General features: G+C 37.7%; 1 gene segment (V, D, J or C) and 1 further gene, besides 4 other annotated features; both read left to right on the forward strand.

Annotated features, from left to right (window-relative positions):
- The window catches only part of TRA (T cell receptor alpha locus), a 930,229-nt gene that overhangs the window by 398,485 nt on the left and 509,635 nt on the right, over nt 1–22,109 (forward strand).
- Nucleotides 20,275–20,326: a sequence feature (TRAV20 leader sequence).
- TRAV20 (T cell receptor alpha variable 20) lies at nt 20,275–20,765 on the forward strand. The segment is given in 2 exon segments: nt 20,275–20,326; nt 20,481–20,765. Coding segments are annotated over 2 exon segments (337 nt in total), but the record flags the coding sequence as incomplete, so codon positions are not given.
- Nucleotides 20,481–20,491: a sequence feature (TRAV20 leader sequence).
- Nucleotides 20,773–20,795: a recombination feature (spacer).
- Nucleotides 20,796–20,804: a recombination feature (nonamer).

A 22,109-nucleotide genomic window follows, 5' to 3' on the forward strand; every position in this document is an offset into this window, starting at 1 on the left:
TCTGCTCATAGTCCTTTGCTCCCATGATTACACCTGTCTGAATGCTTACCATCATTCTTTCTCCTGATCCTAGAGACTATCTCAGACCATTATTACCTTGTGAAGAATTTTCTGGTCACCCCAGCTCACAGTGATCTCTTCCTTCTGATAAATTACCCCAAATTTTTAAAAAATATATTTCAAAAAATCTTTTTTTCAAAAAATATTTTTGAAATGTATTTTTATATATTTTATGTATGTTTTTAAAATATAGTTCACTTAATTTTACAGTGCACTTTTATAAGCATTATCTCATTCACTGTTTATAATAACATTGTGAACAAGGCAAGGTACAAAGAATTAATCTCATTTTGTAGCTTAAAAACTGAGATTCAGAGAAGTGAAGGGGCCTAAGCCAGTGTGCTCAGCCAAGGGTAAAGCTCACTCTTCTCACCCGAGCTCTCTATACCAAATTACCTTATTATGAGTATATACGTTATCTCCTCCCAAATATACATTTTTTTCTAAATGTTCTTACACGTTTGTATGTCTCATAATACTGGACAAGACATTTACGGGGCTATGTAGAGCTGAGTGATTTTATTTCAATATTGTTCCCAGCAAGCTCAAGGACTGACAAAGCTGTACCACCTCTGCTCTATGGGACTACTGTAGCAAAAACTGAATTGTAGAAAAAAACAATCACTGCATCTCCAAAAAATCTGCTTTTGGAAGTAAGAAAGAGACAAGAAAAATAATCTTTTAAAGGTCAGGGCAGCCTTAATTTTACCTTTATATCCTAGGCTCCAATATTGAAAAGTTTCAAAGAAGGCTATCAGAGGTAATGACAATGGGCTTCAAGAACTACAAATGAATCACAATGAAATAAGTTTCAAATTGATCAAATTCCAGAAACCACTCCTCAGATAATTTAACTAGTAAGCAAAATGGAGAACTTTTTGATTTTGAAGCCCAGTTTAACAGAATTTAAACTATATTAATATAAAACTTAATTTTCTTTATTCCAAAGGCTATATTATACTAAATCTTTCTGGAAGCTAACCACAGGACTAATGTGATGAAATTGAAAGAATGGGGAACAAACTAGGTGGATGTCTGGACACCCCAAACTGAAGGTAAATGCTACCTTCTACCCTAACATTCTTGACTTCCACAAACTCAGGTGTTAGACACCTGAGCACTGGAAGTTAAACAGGTAGATATGAAGACTAAGAAAAGAAGAGGGAGATAGAGGGACCAAAATAAATCTGAATATTGTAAAGAAGGTATTCACACAGTCTTTATTTGCCTAGTGCTAAATACATCCAGTGTCTACTTCTAGTCTGACCCTTCATTCCAAATGCCTGTGTCTGGGCTAACGGGAGCATAGACAGCGAATAGAATTTGCTTTACTGTCTGATCTTCACTCAAGTGAAAGCAATTTGAGGCAGGAATCATGTTTTGTTTTGGTTTATGTGTTTTTTTGCAGAGCTTTACATGTCATGTAAGTCGGAATTTCTGGAATGAGTACTTAAGCTTAGGGATTCCTGAGCATGCATAAACATTTAAGAGCGGCTAGGTGATCTGTCTAGCCAGAGAATCTTGTCAGCATGTAACTGTACTCAAGACCACAATTTTACTAAGAGTTGAAGTGTGTAGGTAATTTTAACTGGTGAGAAAATTCATTTAGGATAAATATTTATTATTTGAAGATTATTTTTATGTTCACTTTATTTTTGCCATAGCTATTGTTACTATACTGACAGCACTTCCAATAAGAACCTGTGTAAAAAAAACAATATAGTGGTCCTCAGTAAAAAAGTCCCAATGCTTTAAAATGGTTTATGTAGGCAGAGAACTATGCTTTAACTTCTTACTATAATACAACCATAACTTGCATAAAGTAAATCCAATCCTAGAGCAATTATGAGCTATGAATTCTGCTGGTCTTATTTCATTAGCACAAATAATTTTAAAAGGGCTAGACAAACAGGCCAACAGATGTCGAGCAAACAGAAACTTTAACTGAGATTCCTGAAATCCCTAATAAAACAAATAAACAGGAGACAGCCATAATAAAATAAATGCCTCTGTAATGAAGAGAAGTGTGTAATAGTAAGCATCTAAACCTGGCATTATAAAAGAAACAAAAAGTAAAAAGATGGTGTTTCGAAAACCAAGTTACTAAAGTAAGGTTACCTATTTATCATAAGGCTAAAGGTGTAAGGCTGCTGTCATCCAAGTATGATCCAGGGAACCCTAGACAGACCTTTTAGGGAGTCTGGCATTCCAAAACTATTTTTATAATGATAATAAGACATTATTTGCCTTTTTTACTTTCAAAGTCTCGCAGGTGTATATGCAAGGTTTCCAGTCTACATGGTATGTGATAAGGTCATCACTCTGATGGTTAATGGAATATATCTCTACCTCTATCTCTATGCCACATAAACACAACCTCTTTAGAGTCTTCTTGGAATCTCTCAGTGAAACTATAAAGGGATCCTGAGACCAACAAGTTTGAGAACTGATGGTTTACAGGCTACAAATTCAATTTATCACAATATGACTTTGAATAATATTTTACCACTTCACACACAGTGTAATAAATTTACAGCATTTCACCTCCATTCTTTGTGCTATTGTTGTCAACACATTTTTATTCTACATAAGTTAAAAGCCCCACAATGCAGTTTTATGGTTTTTCCTTTAAAAAATTATCTTTTAAAGTTTTTTTTTTAGCACTTCAAAGTTTGGTTCTGACATACATTGTTTCTGATGAAAAGCTGGCTGTTATTCTTAGCTTTGACTCCCCATACCTAAAGTGTCTTTCCTCATTTTTCTATCCTGTCACCCCAACTGCTGTTAAAATTTTCCTTTTTATTACTGGTTCTCAGAAATTTGATTACAATGAGCCTTGGGGTAATTTTCTCTATATTTCTTCTCTGTATCTACGAAAAACTTTCAGCCATTATTTCTTTAAGTATCTTTCTTTCTCTCCCTCTCTTCTTCTGAGGCCTCAGGTACACCTATTTTAGATTATTTGATTTTGTAGAGTTCAGGAGCACTATTTCTTTTTTTAAAATCTTTTTTCTTTGCTTCAGTTTAGATCATTTCTACTGCTTTTTCTTCAAGTTCTCTAAGCTTTTTTTCCTGTGATTTCTAATCTGCTGTTAATCTTGTCCAACTTATTTTTCATTTTATTTAATTGTTTTTTATTTCTACAAGTTCCACTTGGATCTTTTTACGCCTTCCATTTTTCTCCTCCTTATGTTTCTATATTTTTTTACATCCTTGAATTCATTTTTATTGTATGTATGTAGTTTATATGCACTGTTTTAAAGTCCTTTTATAATAATCACATAATCTGTGTCATTTTAAATTCTGTTTCTGTTTATCTTTCTCCCGGTTATAGACTTTATTTTCCTGGTTCTTCACCAGCTTGATAATTTTGATTGGGTGCTAGATATTATGTATTTTACATTGTTGGATGCACAATTTTTTTATATTACTTTAAACACCATTGGACATTGTACTGATTATTAAATAATTTGCTTATCATTTTGATTTTTTGAGACTTCTTTTAATTTTTATCTGAACAGCCTCTATTCTGGGACTAATTAAAGTCACTACTAATTTATCACCTTTCTGAGGATTCTAGTGCCTGCCCTGTGCATTACAATGTCTCTTGAATCCTGGATGCTAGTAATACAAACTATGCCCAGCACTATGTGAACTCTGGAAATTATTTGGCCTGTTGCTTCTCTTTGCCTGAGTTTCCTCTCATGTATGTACAGATCAGCCAAAGACAAAGAGTGACCCCTCCAGAGCCAGAGTTCTCTTCTGAATCTCTCTCTCCCCCTCTTTCTCTTTGTCTCTCTCTCTTTTTCTCTCTCCCCAAATCCCTCCTCTCTGGTACACTTATTCATACATTCTAGATGCTTTAGGATCCCCAATCTCCTATTCTATTCCTCAACACAACGAGGCAGCTGTGCTGTGTTGTGGTTAATCCTCCCTGTGCTGTTGCCTAGAAACTGCCTCCAGGAAATAAGTGGAAGAAATGTTAGGACTCACTTCATTTATTTTCATTATCTCTGTATTATCTGTAGTCCAAGGTCTGAAAATTTCCTTTATTTTGTCCAGCTTTTTAATTTGAAGATCAATTTCTGTAGCAGTGTACATTTATCAAGGAAACAAAAGTCAAAGTAATTTATTTGTGTTGTATTTTACAGTTGTAGTGGTCCATGATAAATTGGTGAAAACACTGATTCTTTATCATAGATTATTTGAAAAGAGCCACATTAGATAATGTTTCTAACATGCATTATCATGTTTATAAGATGACATGCTGATTGTGTCTTGGGGACTTAATAGAACTGATTCAGATAAAGGAATAAAGGAGAGTAGAGAGGACTTTCTAGGCAGATGTTCTCTGTCCCATGAGAACCATAAAGACATGTGCAAGGAGGAGGCCTCAGATTTTTCTACTTAAAAGTTGTGCCTGGAATTATTTGGGATTATTATCTGTACCCAAGGAGAAAATGATGCGAGTAATAATTGAACATTGCCCCAATTATTGCTGTGAATCTATAAAAAATGAATGTTTAGTGCTTTCTTCTTAGAGTCCTATTCCATTCTTCTTAGGTATCTACCTTCCCTTCAAGCTATTTTATTAAAAACAGGGTCAAGGTTCTTTTTGGTTTTTATTTTCTCCAAGATGGTGGATTGGAGGCATCGTCAACATGCTTCTCCCACTTGGGAAGACAAAATAGTGTGTAGAGACTCACACTGTGAACTTTCTTCCAAGAAGCAACACAGGAACTTAACAAGAAAATGGAAAGAAACCACATACCCTTTGAATGAAGCAGCAAGTTGGCTGGGCACAGCGGCTCACGCCTGTAATCCCAGCACTTTGGGAGGCCGAGGTGGGCGGATCATGAGATCAAGAGATCGAGACCATCCTGGCCAACATGGTGAAACCCCATCTCTACTAAAAATACACAAATTAGCTGGGCGTTGTGGTGCGTGCTTGTAGTCCCAGCTACTAGGGAGGCTGAGGCAGGAGAATTGCTTGAACGCGGGAGGTGGAGGTTGCAGTGAGCTGAGATTGCGCCACTGCACTCCAGCCTGGTGACAGAGCAAGACTCCATCTCAAACAAACAAACAACAACAAAAAGCAGCAGCAGGTTGCAGCCTGCACTGTGAGCTAGTTGGAACACTCTAAGTCCCCAGAGTGTGAGAGGGTTAGAAACTGCTTCTGGGATATACATGCCCACTGGGGAACCTGGCAATCCAGGCTACGGGGAAAGACTTAATCCTACCAAGCCCTAGAGCTGATTTAGTGAGCCGCACGGGGTACATGAGAAGGAGCAGCATTGGGATGTGCTTTGCATGCATTCCCAGTCTCCAGTGGGGACAGAGAGAAGCCATTTCTGATCCTCACAGGGGACCTCGCAGACATCTGCCAGCTAGCTCAGGTGGTGGTTGAGAGAAGCTCCCAACTGAGATTTGCAATATAATCTCGAGTGGGGATAAACTCCTTTAGCCCAAACTCAGGGACAAGCAGAAAGTGTACTATAACCATGAGCACAGGAGCTAAATGCCCCTGCCTTGCAGGTGGATCAGGAGGGGCATGGCCTGAAAACCACAGTTTCTGTCTCTATGGGGAAGCCTTGTGGCCTGGAGAAGCTTTGAGTTCTGAGGGCAGACTGCTTGGAATCTAGCTAGCTGCTGATAGTGAAACACTGCAGGTGTGAGACCTGCCTTGCCAAGTGTGTAGGGGCTGAGGGAGGCTTACTGCTGCCTGCTACTCCCCACTCCCTATGTGGAAGAGTCCACATGGGGAAGTGCCTTCTGTGCAATAGAGGCAGCTGTACTCCTCTGCTTATGCCAGCTTGTGCCTCCACTTGTGCCAGCACGCAGAACACGGACTTCCCTGACCCAGCCCCACCTAGCTTTGCCCCTCCACCAGCTCCGGTTGCTTAACACAAAGGTCTGAGTCTTTTAGGAGCTATATCGCCCTTCCCATTGCCTGAGACACCAAAGTACCTCTCCCAGTAACATAAGGCAAGCACAAATCCCACCATTATTACCACAGTTGGTAGTCCTTTGCAAGCACTATCTCCTGGCTGGAGGCCAACCAACACAGTCCTTCACAGCATTTGTAGACAGAATAAAACAGCACCAAGAAAGAGGAAACTTGAGTGTGATCTCAACTATCACCATTGCCTGCAGCACCCTGGCTAACCAGGAGGTCCTCAGCATGTCCACATGATCAGTTCGTTTACTAGTATAACTGGCATTTGAGGAAGCCAACACACTAAAGCTATTCATAACTAAGCAATCTCTCAGAGTCTAAGTCACTCTCCTGCCACTCCCATCAGAGCTAGTGCTGGTAGCCACTTCCGGGAGACTTGAGAACAGGTCACATCACTAGATCCCTTGCAGACATTCTGCAGCAACAGCCTGGAGGTATCAGTCCCACTGGGTGGCCAGATCCAGAGGAGTAGCAGCATTCACAGCAGTCTGGCTCTCAGGGACTCCTACTTCTAGGGGTAAAGGGGGTGCACTATATCAAGGGAGCACCCTGTGGGACAAAAGAACCCAGATGGCCGGTCTTGAGTCCCAGAATTTTCTGCTTTGCGGAAGTTTCTTTCAACAGAGTCACAGGTGCAGTGCTGAGCTCAGCAGGGAAAGCTTGTGGCTCTAACTAAACAGTCAGTCAGCCCTGGTGCTAGTGAAGGGTCTTGAAAAGTAGAATTCTTTTTCCCCCTCATCCACCACTGCAGACACAGCTGGAACTTCTCCCACGGAAGCTCAGTGTGGGTGCATCTGTAGACAACCTTTCCAGAACACTTCAAGGTAATTGCATCCCCACAGGAAAAATGCCTTCCAGGTTTAGTCTTACACAAGGGGGAGAGTCACAATCCCTGTCTACATGGAACATCAGCACTCATGCAGGTGAGAAGAGGTGCCTATACGATCTGTATAGCTGGAACACTGGGCCAGCAGTATGACTGGGAGGTGGATCACTTTCCTGCTGGACTGGCAGGGTAGCTGAGGAGGCTCTCTCCTTCCCCTTGAAGAGGACTCAGTGCATTTCACTGAGAGTTCCCCCAGCTGCTTCTGTCAAGGCTGGGACCTCTGCCCACCTCTAAATATTGCATTTACCCATCTGCTTTAGCCACAGTTGTTTTTTTGTTCCCCTTGGACATCTCTTACTGGTCTGAAGCCTGAACTGTTCCACCCAGTGAATAAAATACTGGGGAAAAAAAGTAAATAAATAAAAGGGTGCACACCACTGGAGAATGAGACAAGCGTCAAGACGCCTCTGCCATTCAAGCCCCACAGGAGACAATGAACCTGCTCACATACTGGGAACATTGCTACTACAACCAGCATCCAAGAAAGCTGTCATACAACGGCTTTCTATAACCAAGGAGCTCATACAGAATTCATCTCTGAAAGCACCCAGAGCCAAACCAGATTATAATAAACTATAATCAAAGTCACATCCTCAAGGGGGCAAAAAAGAAATTAAAAAACCCACAAGTGAGTAAAAAATAAGTTAAAAAATAATTAGAAGAAATGGTCTATCCAAATACAAGAAGTGCAAAGAACCACTGGGAGATTCAACCATACACACAAAAATGTGACCCATGGTCGAAAGAGAAAACTGTTAATAAACCCAAAAAGAGATGACCCAGGTGTTGGATTTATTGGATGTACTTTAAGATAAATATAATAAAATACAAATGGATCTAATAGAAATTGTAGACAATATGCATGCTGAGATATGTAAGTTTCGGAGAGAGAAGAACAAACATATGTATAGGGAATAGGTTAACCAGTATATTTAAAAATATGTATACAAAATATGCTAACCAAAAAGAAAGATTGACAAATAGGACACGAATACAATTTTAAAATGGTGCTCATCCAACGACAGTATTAAGAAAGTCAATTAGCAACCTAAATTCTGAAAAAATATTCAAGAAGATACAGCTGAAAAAATATTACTTCCAGAATATATTTAAAACCTCCCATAAATTAACAATTAAAAATTACACAATAATAAAATACATAAATGGTGTAACGAGTGAGTACTGCTATAGACTGAATGTTTGTGTCCCCCCAAATTCATATGTTGAAATCTGTTGTGATTTTAATTTATGTCTTTTTTTTTTTTGACGGAGTCTTGCTCTGCTGCCATGCTAGAGTGCGGTGACACAATCTCAGCTCACTGCATCCTCTCCCTCCCGGGTTCAAGCGATTCCCCTACCTCAGCCTCCAAGTAGTTGGGACTACAGGTGTGCGCCACCATGCCCAGCTAATTTTTTGTATTTTAGTAGAGACGGTTTCATCATGTTGGCCAGGATGATCTCGATCTCCTGACCTCGTGGTCCACCTGCCTCAGCCTTCCAAAGTGCTGGGATTACAGGTTTGAGCCACCTCACGTGGCCAATTTGTTATGTCTTCTTAATTTGGACTTGAAGTCTCTCTCCTGAGAATGACCATAAGCCAAGATAACCACTGCCTAGGACAGCCTTGACTAGGGGAAAAATTAGGTTTAGGTGTGTGGGTCAGGTAAAATGGAATGGATCTTTAAAACTTCATGTTGAGCAATAGAAACCAGGCCCTCCTCCCAACATGCTATATAAGGACGTGAAGCGAAAAGGCATAAAATAGAAGGAATTTATTTCTCCCAGGTCCCAGAGAGGTTATAGGTGCCAGTGGGAGGCTGATGGGAAGTTCAGAGGCAGCAGGGAGCTCAACCAGTAGGTGAAGAGAGAGAGAAACAGAGGGAGAGAGAGGCCTGTGGGATTATACGTTTATTAAGGTTCATGGGTATTATCCCTTAGGCTTATCCATGGGTACTGAGGACTGTCTAGTTCAAAGAAAACACATAAAAAGGGGAGAAATTATGTACACGACTCTGGCGTTGGCCATTAGATTTATCATGGTTAGCAGCTGTGGAAAGTGTTGGATTTTGGGTCAGTGAGATGAAGAACAACCATACAGGGAGTGGAAGTTCTAACTAGGCCAAGGGAGATGAAGTATGACTTATGTCAGGCCTGAAAATGGACGCCAAGGCAGCAACCACATTAAACAAACTTATGACAGAACTGAATTACCAGTGTGGTCGTATTTGGAGGTGCGGCCTTTAAGAGGTGATTAGGTAATGAGAATAATGTCCATATAAAAGAGGTCACAGAGAGCTTCCTTGCTTTTTTGGCAATGTGAGGACACCGCAAAGATGACTACCAACCCGAAAACACGCCCTCACTAGGCACTGAATCTTCTGGGAGCTTGATCTTGGACTATACTTCCTCCAGAACTTTGAGTTTCTGTTTTTATAAGCCACCTATCTATGATATTTTGTTACAGTGGCCCAAATAGACTAAGACAAATCTATAAAATATGTTAAACATCATAAGTCATTAGGGGGATGCAAATAAAATCTACATTCCGGTGCCATTCATCCCCACTAGAAGCACTAAAAACAAGCCATCTGACAACCCCAATATTGGCAAATATGTGGAACAACTAGACAGTTCATGCAGTGCTGGCGAGAATGTAAAATGGCACCGCACAATCACTTTGGGGTCTTGCAATGGCCCAGCAAGAACACTCACAGATATTTAGCAAAGATAAGTGAAAACATAGGCCCATAAATGATCCATACAAAAAATTTTGTATGCACCTCATTTATATTTGTTGTAACTGGAAACAATTTAAATGTCCATCAACAGGAGATAAAAAAGAACTACGGACTGATACACACAACAATATTAATGGATCTCTAAAGCCTTGTGTTGAGCAATGGAAACCAGGCCCTTCCCTCAAAATACTGCATGATACCTTTTATATAAAATACAAGAACAAAAACTAAACTATGGTGATACAAGTAAAAATGTGGTTTCCTCTGGGAAGGAGAGTTTGACTAAAAAGGGGCACAAAGGGATTTTTCTGCGATCATGGAAATGCTCTACATATTGTTTTAGGTGATAGTTACACAGGTGTATAAAATTCTCAAACTCATTGAAATGAATACATTGTATCTGTGCATTTTATTATGTCAATCATACTTCAATACAAAAGAAACCAAAATAAAATAAAATAACCTATATAGAAAGAAATGTGCCCCTGCACAATTGTAGGGCTAGGTAAGTTTTCACAATTTGGAAAAGCCCATGTAACCAGCACCCATATCAAGAAAAAGGGCATTACCCACATGGCAGGCCACTCTTGTACCTGCTTCCTGTCTCTACCAGCCCAAGTAACCATTATCCCGACATCTAACTGCACAGACTAGTTTTGCACTTTAATTAAATGGGATCATTTAGTATGTACTCTGGTTTCTAGCTAATTTTACACAATCATAACTTTATGAGATGTATTTGTATTATTATGTGTAGCCATAAATCTTCATTCTCAGAACTTTGGGGCATTTTATTGTCTTTGGTCATTTCATTTGTGTATATTTAGCTTCCCAGGGCAAATTAATGACCAGCTAGTCTTTGTTGATTCCAAGTCTCAGACAGCTATCAGAGTAGACTATAATCACGACAGACCACAGCTGCTCTAGCAATTGGAAAAGTATAGACAAATTCCTGCAAAAACTGTAGAAAGCTAAAAATATTAATTTTTCTCTGTGTATATATTATTTTATTTTGGTTCTTTTTTATGAGGTATAATTTTTTCTACAATGAAATGCACTTACATGTTTAGTTTAATGTGTTTTGAGAACCATATACACCCATGTAACAAGATAATATATAGAACATTCCCTACATCCCTGAAGTCTCCTTTCCAGTCTAATTTTTCCTCCTACAGACAACCACTTTCTGATAATTTTATCACTAGTTAAATCATCCTGGACTTAAAAAAAATTAATTTTCTCATAAGAGGGACTTTAGGTCATTATATTATATTCAATTATATTCACTCAAAGAAGAGAGCATAAACAGACAATTAAAAGCTGCAGTCAACTGAATCACACTCACATATCTGCACATTGACACCACACAAATCAGTCACCAACTTTCATGCTGCTGAAAGGTAAAACTATAGAGTTGCCCCCAGTGAAAAAAGTCTTTCAGCCACATCTGCCGCAGCAGTGGGCTGACAGAGGGATTTGCAATGTTCCAATTGCTTTATTTATGATATAAGAGAATAAGAATGCATGCTCTGATGAGTTTGGCTGCACTCATTTAGACTATCGGGTGCAATGTTTGAAAGCCAGATTTTTCCTAGCACAGACTTACTATTGATTGCTATTGGGCACATGCAACGGGACAAATTTTGTCAATCAAGAAACTTGCTGTAATGCCATTAAGCAAACAAGAAACTTTATCTAATATAAATTTTCCCAGAATCCAATGGCTTGGTGCACAGGAAGAAAGAGTTATAATGATTGAGAGTGAAAAGTTTTATCTCCCTGTCTGGAAGAAAAATCTGGGAATATATTTCACTGTAGATTTCAGCCAGAGACCAAAAAGCATACACCATGCAAAAAGATGGATGATAACTTGTTCTCAGTAGTCATCATAACCCATAATAAATTGTTATTTCTTATGAAACTTATGAGTCTATCTCTGATGCATTGGCTGAATGTAGCAAATGGTTGAATCATTAAAACCTTCAATTTAATTTAACTCATGTACATGTACAGATATAATTTCTGTCTATTAAATTAAAATAAGACCAAATAGGCAGGTTAGAATCTCCAACTGTGTCAAAAAGCTATGGCTTAACACAGGCAAACTGATATCAGCAGATCACATTTTCTCTTCTGGCAGAGGAGCACCTTACAGCTCGGCACTCAGAAGAACTTGCAACATTCTGCTCCCCTGCCTACTGAGGATAGTCATAGCCTCTTTCTGACAAAGGATGGTAAAGATGGCCACAAATGCAGGACTCCGGCTTTTCTCAGCTTTAAAATCTGGGGGCAGCAGCAGGTTGTTATTTTCTCCTAAACCTGATGGGGTTTAGGGGAAAGAGGTAATGGACAGGGAGTCACAGCCCCGTCCTACATTATTTCCTTACAACCTCATGGGTACCCCCAGGAGAATCAGCATAATTCTCTCTCCCTTCCCCCTCTCTCATCTCTTTTCTCTCTCTTTTTCAGGATCTAGCTAGTTCCAGAGGGTAACTCAAGCCCTGACCGAAATTTATTTTTATGCTTTAAGTTCTGGGTTACATGTGCAGAACTTGCAGTTTTGTTACATAGGTATACACGTGCCCTGGTTGTTTGCTGCACCCATCAACCTGTCACTCTTCTAATGTTATCCCTCCCCTACCCACCCAACCCCAACAGGCCCCAGTGTGTGATGTTCCCCTCCCTGTGTCCATGTGTTCTTATAGTTCAACTCCCACCTATGAGTGAGAACATGCAGTGTTTGGTTTTCTGATCTTGTGATAGTTTGCTGAGAATGATGGTTTCCAGCTTCATCCATGTCCCTGCAAAGGACATTAACTCATCCTTTTTTATGGCTGCATAGCATTCCATGGTGTATAAGTGCCACATTTTCTGAATTCAGTCTATCATTGATGGACATTTGGGTTGGTTCCAAGTCTTTGCTATTGTGAATAGTGCCACAATAAACATACGTGTGCATGTGTCTTTATAGTAGCATGATTTATAATCCTCTGGGTATATGCCCAGTAATGGGATTACTGGGCCAAATGGTATTTCTAGTTCTAGATCCTTGAGGAATCGCCACACTGCCTTCCACAATGGTTGAACTATTTTATAGTCCCACCAACAGTGTAAAAGCATTCCTACTTTTCCACAACCTCTCCAGCATCTGTTGTTTCCTGACTTTTTAATGATCACCATTCCAACTGGTGTGAGATGGTATCTCATTGTGGTTTTGATTTGCATTTCTCTAATGACCAGTGATGATGAGCATTTTTTCATATGTCTGTTGGCTGCATAAATGTCTTCTTTGGAGAAGTGTCTGTTCATATCCTTTGCCTAATTATTTGATGGGGTTGTTTGCTTTTTTCTTGTAAATTTGTTTAAGTTCTTTGTAGATTCTGGATATTAGCCCTTTGTCAGATGGATAGATTGCAAAAATTTTCTCCCATTCTGTAGGTTGCCTGTTTACTCTGATGATAGTTTCTTTTGCTGTGCAGAAGCTTTTTAGTTTAATTAAATCCCATTTGTCAGTTTTGGCTTTTGTTGCCATTGCTTTTGGTGTTTTAGTCATGAAATCTTTGCCCATGCCTATGTCCTGAATGGTATTGCTCAGGTTTTCTTCTAGGATTTTTACGGTCCTAGGTCTTAGGTTTAAGTCTTTGAGCCATCTTGAGCTGATTTTTGTATAAGGTGTACGGAAAGGGTCCAGTTTCAGTTTTCTGCCTATGGCTAGCCAGTTTTCCCAACACCATTTGTTAAATAGGGAATCGTTTCCCCATTGCTTGTGTGTCTTGATGGGAATTTCTATACTACCAGGAGAATCACTATAATTTTCTCACTCTTCTTCTCCTCTCCTCTCTCCTCTCCTCTCATCTCCTCTCCTCTCTTTTCTCTCTTTTTCAAGATCTAGCCAATCCCAGAAGGTAACTCAAACCCAGGCTGCAATTTCTATGCTGCAGAAGGAGGCTGTGACCTTGGATTGTGTATAAGAAGCTAAAACTTAATTATTATTTACTCTGGTACAGACATCCACCAAGTGGGAGAATTATTTTCCTTATAGATCAGGAGTCTTTTAATGAGCAGAATGGAACAAAGGGTTGGTATTCTCTGAACTTGCAGAAACCAGCCAGTTCCATCAGCTGTATTTTCACAGCCTCACAGCTTGAGGTTTTGGCAATGTTCTTTCATCCCCTGAGTGAAACTACAGTGAAATATTCACCTGAGGGGGGCCTAAAAAATTCATATCTCAATGTCCCCCGATATAAACACCTGGGCAAGAGTCACAGTGTGAACAGGAAGAGGCAGGGAGGCACTGTCAATGGAGATGGAGATTTAGGAGAAACTTCACTCTAAGGAAAATGTTCTCTCTGGCTCAGAGAACATATCTTAAATTGTCATTAATCAAAAGCGTGTTTATCTTCAGTTCTTTATCTTGAAGTAGATTATTCGGCAAAAGATATATATATATGTGTGTGTGTGTGTGTGTGTGTGTGTGTGTGTGTATATATATATATATATATATTTTTTTTTTTCCAAGATGGAGTTTCACTCTTGTCGCCCAGGCTGGAGTGCAATGGCACTATCTCGGCTCACTGCAACCTCCACCTCCCGGGTTCAAGCAATTCTCCTGCTTCAGCCTCCCAAGTAGCTGGGATACAGGTGCACACCACCATGCCCGGCTAATTTTTGTATTTTTTTGTTAAGTAGAGGTGGGGTTTCACCATGTTGGCCAGGCTGGTCTCGAACTCCTGACCTCAGGTGATCTGCCAGCCTCAGCCTCCCAAAGTTCTGGGATTACAAGCGTGAGCCACCGTGCCCAGCCAACAAAAGATTTTTTTTAGAAATTTGTGGTGACTACATTAAAGTGTGAAACTGACTCTTAAAAAGTTAAGAAACACTTGGCCAAATCCATATGCGAATTGTTAGATGATTTGTCTGTATATTGCCATGACTTGCTCTTCTTCTTTTTATATTTTTTTCTTTCCCGTTGAGTGACCTACTTGATTTACTTAATTTCTGGGTGGATATTCCTTCCATTACAAGTCCTAGCCTAAGACTTAAGGAAAATGAGCTTGCTTTTCTACTTTCCTGACTCTGGTTCCAAAGGCCGAATTATTTCCATTGGAATAAAAACTTCTTGATTCTTAACCCTTAAGGAGACTTTTAGAAAGTATTATCCTCAATTGTAATATTGGTCTTTTCAAAATTCACCCATGAGAGCAAAATCAGGACCCTGTTCTGGGAAGAAGCATGACTACGTCCCAGGGAGCCAGGCCATTTGGCCATGAAACTGTGATTGTGAAAAGACGTAGATGAAAGCATATGACTTTCACAAAAAGTAATGACAAGAAGAGGGATTTCTTATTCTTGGGACAATTTGGAGAGAATTAGTCTTTTCTTCAGGAAACATGTGCCTAAATATCAGAAAAGAAGTCATAGAAGAAGAAAGAAAATCTCGTTTTCAGTTCATTTTGATGACTTAAAGATGGATGGGCAATTTTCCTGGGGAATATTAAGGTTTAAAAGAACATAAATTTTAGGAAAAGTTTCCAGTTATTCTCAATAATAAGACAGATATAAAACTATTTTCCAAATCTATAATACAAAATTGCCCTGTGATAAATGACAGGAAATTTCCGAAGGTGATGGGTTGAAAACGGTGTGATGTGGTCCCTATATTTCTAAATTAAATTTTCAGGTAGAATAATCATAGTGAGATAAAAAGGAAATTTTTCAGCCTCAAAATATAAAAGGTTTTAAAGTCATCTATTAAAAGTCTTTGATATACATTTTGGTTATTCAAAGCAGAATAACCACTGTACAATTCCATTTATATAACATTCATGAAATAACAAAATTGTAGGGATTAATAACAGATTAGTGATTGTCAGGGGTTATGACTGGGGAGAAGGAATAGCTGTGGCTATTAAGATAAAAATAATGAACTATTCCTCCTATCCAAAAAATCTATTTATAAATAAACATCATAAAAAATAAACTCAAAGTGAATCATGAAATTAAATGTAAAATGTAAAACTGTGAAACTTTTGGAAAAAATAAAATCTTCAAGATGCAGAGCCAAGCGAAGAGTTCTTAGGTTTGACACCAAAAGCACAATACACACACACATATACACACACAAATTGGATTTCATCAAAATTTAAAACTTTTGCTCTGTAAAAGATCCTGTTAAGAAGATCAAATGATAAACTACAGACTGGGAGTAAATATTTAAAAACCAGGTATCTGACACAGAGTTGTAGCTAGAATATATAAAGAATTCCCAAAATGAAACAGTAAAAAAAAAAAAAGTTAGAAAATGAGCAAAAAGCATTAAACAGATTTCACTTTGAGGATATACATATTGCAAATAAGCATATGAGAAGATGATCAACATTATCAGCTATCAGTGAAATGCAAATTAAAACCACGATGAGATATTATTATATACCTATCAGAATGGCTGAAATAAAAAATAAAGATAACATCAAATGCTGTTGAAAATTTAGGGAAACTGGATCACTAGTATGTTGTTGGTAGGGATATAAAATGATACAGGCACTCCGGAAAATAGTTTAGCAATTTCTTATAAAATTATGCATGCCTTACCCCATGACCCAGCAATTACACTCTTTGGGACTTATCCTAGAGAAACAAAAGCTTATATTCACACCAAAACCTGTACATGAATATTAATAGCAGCTTTATTCATCACAGCCCAAATCTGGAAACAACCCAGATGTCTTCCAGTGGGTGAATGGTTAAGCAAACAGTGGCACATTCATAACATAGTCTATTATATAGCAATACAGAGGAACAAAAGCATTTATACACATAATAACTTGCATAGATATCATGCTTTTATCCCTCATGCAGAGTGAGAAAAGCCAATTTTAAAAGGTTACTACTGTACAATTCCATTTATATGACATTATTGCAATAACAAAATAGTAGGAGTAAGTAACAGATTAGTGATTGTCAGGGATTAATGATGTGGGGAGGGGATGGGTGTGGCTGTGTGAAGGAGTAGCATGAGGAAAGCTGTGATTGTGAAACCATTGTGAGTCTTGATTGTGGCAATGGTTACATGAATCTATACATACGATAAAATTGCATAGAACCATACACATACAAATTAGTGCATGTACAACTTCAGAAACCTAAATAAGCTCTACAGATTATACCAATGTGAATGTCTTGGTTTAGAAACTGTTCTATAGCTACACAAGTTGTTATCATTGGGGATGCTAAGTGAAGAATACGTGAGACCTCTATATACATTTTTTGAAATTATAATACTATAATTATTTCAAATAAAAAATAAAAATATTTTTAAAAATTAAACAAAACTTTGCATAAAACTCACAATTCTAAATCACCTTCTGTGGCTCTGTTACCCATCTATCACACATTCAGTCTAGGTTCTCTTAGTTCCTGCACTAATAAATATAAATATAAATTGTCCCTGCATTATAAATAACCCTGCCCCAATCTTGCGTTTATCTTTCGTCTTTTTCGCCTTTTTTCTTAGGTACATATATTCAGAAACAGAGAAAAACTGCCTATTGAAAATGATTTGTAAGAGTCAGAGTTTGCTAATGTGGGTAAAATAAATCAAATCAGTCAATGATAAATTATATGCAAGCTAGTGTAATGATTTGTAGATAACTGAGAAATTATCTTATTCTCAAAAAAAGTCAATGAACAACGTGTTTATACTGTTAGTACAGTATATGCTCGGTAACTTTTTTTTCTGCTGAATGGAAGAAGGGTTGGAGGAGCATCAAAGTTAATGGGGACTAGGAGCAGACTGCTATTGGCACAAATCCAAAGAGAATTCGTGTAAGTGATAGATAATTCAACGAGATGAGCACATATTTAATGGCAAAATTTACCTACAAAATTATTGGCATATGATAAACACATCTCAATTATAAAGTCCAGTGGTGTGTCATAGAATCAAACTAATTAGGCAATACTAGTTTTGCCATGATATCTTAGCCTAGTATTGCTAATTTCAATGTTCTTGGAAAAACAGTTTAGGAGTTATGTCAGAATATTATTGAGGTTAATTTTCATTAGGTACCTACTCTTTTAATTCAGCAACTCTTATTTTTATAGTAGTGGGTATTGTCTAAATTATGATTACCTTGAAATTTTTATACATTTATTTGAAACTAGACATGCTCACTCAAAAATTTCAATGAAGACTAAACATGTAGAAAACGAGAAACAGTCTTAAAACAGAAGGGCAATAGGGTGGAGACAAGTTCGATCATACATTAAATAATATTATTAAGCTGAAATAATTAAAAATAGTTGGCAATAGTGAAAGTATAACTAGATAGATTGATAGAAGACAGAAACAAATTACATAGAGAAAATTACTGTACTGCAAAGATATTACTAATCAGGGAGAAAATAATAGATTTTTGAGCGCATAATGTTGAGTCAATTGTCTAGCCACTTGAAAAAAATTAACCCCTTACCTTATTCCTTAGATCAAAATAACTCCAAATGATAGGCTTAAAAGATTAAATATAAAACATACCAGAAATTTTCAGGATTTAAAAAAGTAAGCTTAGAGTGGGTCAGGTTTTCTAAGCAAGACCAAAATTTCAGGAGACATTATAAAGATGAATGCATTTGAATATACCATAAGGAAGAGATATATGAAAGCAAATATTTCTACGTGGCAAAAATACAATAAAACAGCAAAAACTAAACGCCAAAATGGAATAAAAAGCTTCAAAATATAAAGTCACATAAAACGTGACTTTAATATATAAAGAGCTTTAGTAAACCAACAAAAAATTAACTCTCCAAAAGAAAATTGTGCTAATACTATAATAGCTAATGTTACTTATTTGTTACGTGGTAGCCACTATTTTAATTTTTATCTAGGTAGTGTGTAATCTACCTGTCTACCTATGCATCTATCATTATCAATCAATATATATCTGTTGGTTTCAATACATATTTCAAGTGATTCTCACAGTAATTCTTTAAGGTTTGTACTGTTCTTTCTCCACCATCCAATGATAAAACTAAGCTCAAAGATAAAACTAAGTCACAGAAAATCTCTGAGCAATTTTTTCATAGAAAATAAATCATAGAGCTAGAGTTTGATCACTGGTATTCTGTCTCCAAAATGAACACTTAAACATAATTTTCAATAGACTATTCAAAGAGAGACATACAAATGGATTTTAAAATTATTTTTTCAACCCAGGCTTCAGTAATAATAGAGAAAATTTTGAAATGGTATTCTGAATTAGCATTTTTCACCTATTAACTTCAGAAAGATAAAAATGTTTAATAATACATTGTGTTGGCAAGGAAGTGAAGCAATATTTATTAAATGAAAAATGCATGGGTTCTCTGTTATCATTTACATATTTTCAATAATTTTTATAAATATATTTGTTCATGTTGGCAAACATCTTTTTATGGGGATAACCATTTCAGCATAATCTTTGGTAGTAAAAGACTGGAAATGAAAATACAAAAATGCAAAACTGTTTAAATATAATATAGTACAGCCAAACAATGGAATACTACGTGGCCATTTTGCATGGACAAAAAACAAGGCACAGAATGATATGTATGTTTGTCTGAAAATAATGAGTATGTACGTGTATGAGAGTGTTTGAAAGAACAGATGCATAGATGCCTCTATAATGAGAACTGTGATACTGAAGGACAGATGAGGAGGAAAGACTTACTTTTGCTGTGTATTATTTATATTGTGTAAAATATTTATAATTTGCATGGAATAATCTCCCTCGCCACACACACACACACACACACACACACACACACACACACACACAGTGACTTTCAGGTCTCTCTGAGGTCCAGAAATGGAGACCTCTTTTTTCTCTCTGTTATGCTTTTTCAAAACTTCCTTCCTTCTAATATCTACCAATTTTGTGACCCTGAATTTTGGTCACAGTTGGTCTCAATCCTGTAGTCACACAGAAAATTATTTGAAGACATGGATTTCTTAATTTATGTTCCAAATTCTCTGCACATTGCATCAGAGAGGTTTCTAGACACATCCACAAGCTATTTGATCCCCTCAACTCCATCTTTTATTTTCAGAGCTCTAGTCTTTTTAAGGTTTCACCTGCTGAGGTTTTGAGGTTTTAAGGTTTTAAGGTTTCACCTGCTGAGGTTCTTGTGCATTCTAGTGAAAAATATATTTTAGTGAGAAATATAATTACAGCTACCAGTCGGATTCAACTCCTTTGTAACTTCTGGTTGCAGCTTAGCTTTAAAAACCATTCAAAAAACAATCTAGAGAATTAAGAGTCCAAGTAAAATAAGGCTTTTCTCATTGCCACTTTAAACCTCATATGCACTATGCCCACCAAATATGAAGAATATTTTTCTTTGTAGGTGGCATAAAGTGGGTACCGTGGGACAGTACTGTGGCCACGAGGTGGCAGTGGTTCAATTTACTCTCATTCTACAACTGCCTTTAATTTCAAAAGCATGAAAATTACTAGAGGACTTGCATTTGATTGGTTGAGCAGCCAACAGAAAGGCTCTTTCCTGCATTACAGAATATGAACTAAGATACAGAAGTGGCGCCTCTGAGAAAAGAAGGTTGGAATTATCGTAATTTGTTTCTAGGCTGAGATACCAGCATGGAGAAAATGTTGGAGTGTGCATTCATAGTCTTGTGGCTTCAGCTTGGCTGTAAGTTGGAGGTTAAGAAATGAGAACCATTCGTGCAAAGCTGAGGAAGAGAGATGAAGATTTAATCTCAGCTCATTCAGTTTTCCTGTTGGAATTTTTCAAAGCTGCTAAACTAAAAGCTTTGTATAATTTCTGATTTTGTTTTCCTGAACAGGGTTGAGTGGAGAAGACCAGGTGACGCAGAGTCCCGAGGCCCTGAGACTCCAGGAGGGAGAGAGTAGCAGTCTCAACTGCAGTTACACAGTCAGCGGTTTAAGAGGGCTGTTCTGGTATAGGCAAGATCCTGGGAAAGGCCCTGAATTCCTCTTCACCCTGTATTCAGCTGGGGAAGAAAAGGAGAAAGAAAGGCTAAAAGCCACATTAACAAAGAAGGAAAGCTTTCTGCACATCACAGCCCCTAAACCTGAAGACTCAGCCACTTATCTCTGTGCTGTGCAGGCACAGCGTTCCCCAGGCACCTGCAACTTGTATCAAAACCCTGCAGCTGAGGATCTGAAATGATGGCAGAGGTATCTCTGCTGTTCTTCCTCTTGAAGGAGTATTTATTTAATGCCCAGGACCTTTTTCCAAATGGTCCTTTGGAGAATGAAGTCATGAGACAAAGCCAGAGGGCAGGGACTACTGTTCATTCTGTCCAGGCATCCTAGACAGTCCCTTGTGCATGTTCATGGGTCAGTCTACTCTTAATAACATCCCAGAACTTCCCTCACATAAATTCAGAAGGGCCAGATGTAATATGAAGAGTCCTGGTTTCCAGTTGCGGACTACTTGGAAAAAGACTGCACAGGTGCATACACTCCCTGCCGAAAAAAAAAAAATGTGTGTATGTGTCTGTGTTGTCTCACAATAATCTGGTCACGTTAATATAAGTAAATCTTTTTCATTTTAATATAGTCTTCTTGAAACCCACATCTCCACCAGCCACATCTCTATATTTCTCATCCCTTCATCATCAAATTACTTGAAAGAATTGTCTGGACTCATTCTCTTAATTTCCATTCTTCAGTCTCATTCAAACCTGGCCCCTGTTAGCATTACTCCAAGGGAAGTTCTCACTTTAACACCAGCGGTTTTGGTATTGATAAGGCTATCAGATATTTTTCAGTACTCATCTTGTCTAAGATTTGCAGCAGTCTTTCCTCCCTTCTCATTAAAATAAATGTTACTTTAATCAAAATAATACTCACATATATTTACAAAACTCAACAGCACTGTCTCACACCCCAGTCATGTCTCTCCATTCTCAGGTGATGGTACTCACATTTATCTGAACATTTAAAGATGCTGTTTCTTCGCTTTCTTCTCTTTCTTTTTGAAATTGAGGTACAACACATAATAAGGTGAATAAAACTTTAGCTTACAGCTCAATAGAATTTTACACTTCTTTGTATCTGGGTAACACCATCCAGACCTACATATTGAAATTTTCCATTACTCCAGAAGATTTCCACATGCCCCTTCCAATTCAACGGCCCTTCCCCAACTCTCCACCTGGAGTAACCATGATTCTGCCTTTCATCACTTGGTCTTACACTTTGTGTGACTGGAATTATATTGTGCAGCCTATATTCTACTGTCTCAATTTCTTCTCTCAATATCATATCTTTGAAATTCATTAATGTTTCTGTATGCATGTTATTTTAAAATTTATATGTAAAATTCCCCTGTATAAATATGTAATAATTTATTTTTCCATTCTTCTTGAAATAGACTTTTGGGTTTTTTAGACTGTTTACAGTTTTGTGCCATTATGGAAAAGGTTGCTATAAACATTTACTTAAAT

The sequence above is a fragment of the Homo sapiens genome, chromosome 14 (genome assembly GCF_000001405.40).
Source record: "Homo sapiens chromosome 14, GRCh38.p14 Primary Assembly".
In the NCBI taxonomy this organism is placed as follows: domain Eukaryota; kingdom Metazoa; phylum Chordata; class Mammalia; order Primates; family Hominidae; genus Homo; species Homo sapiens.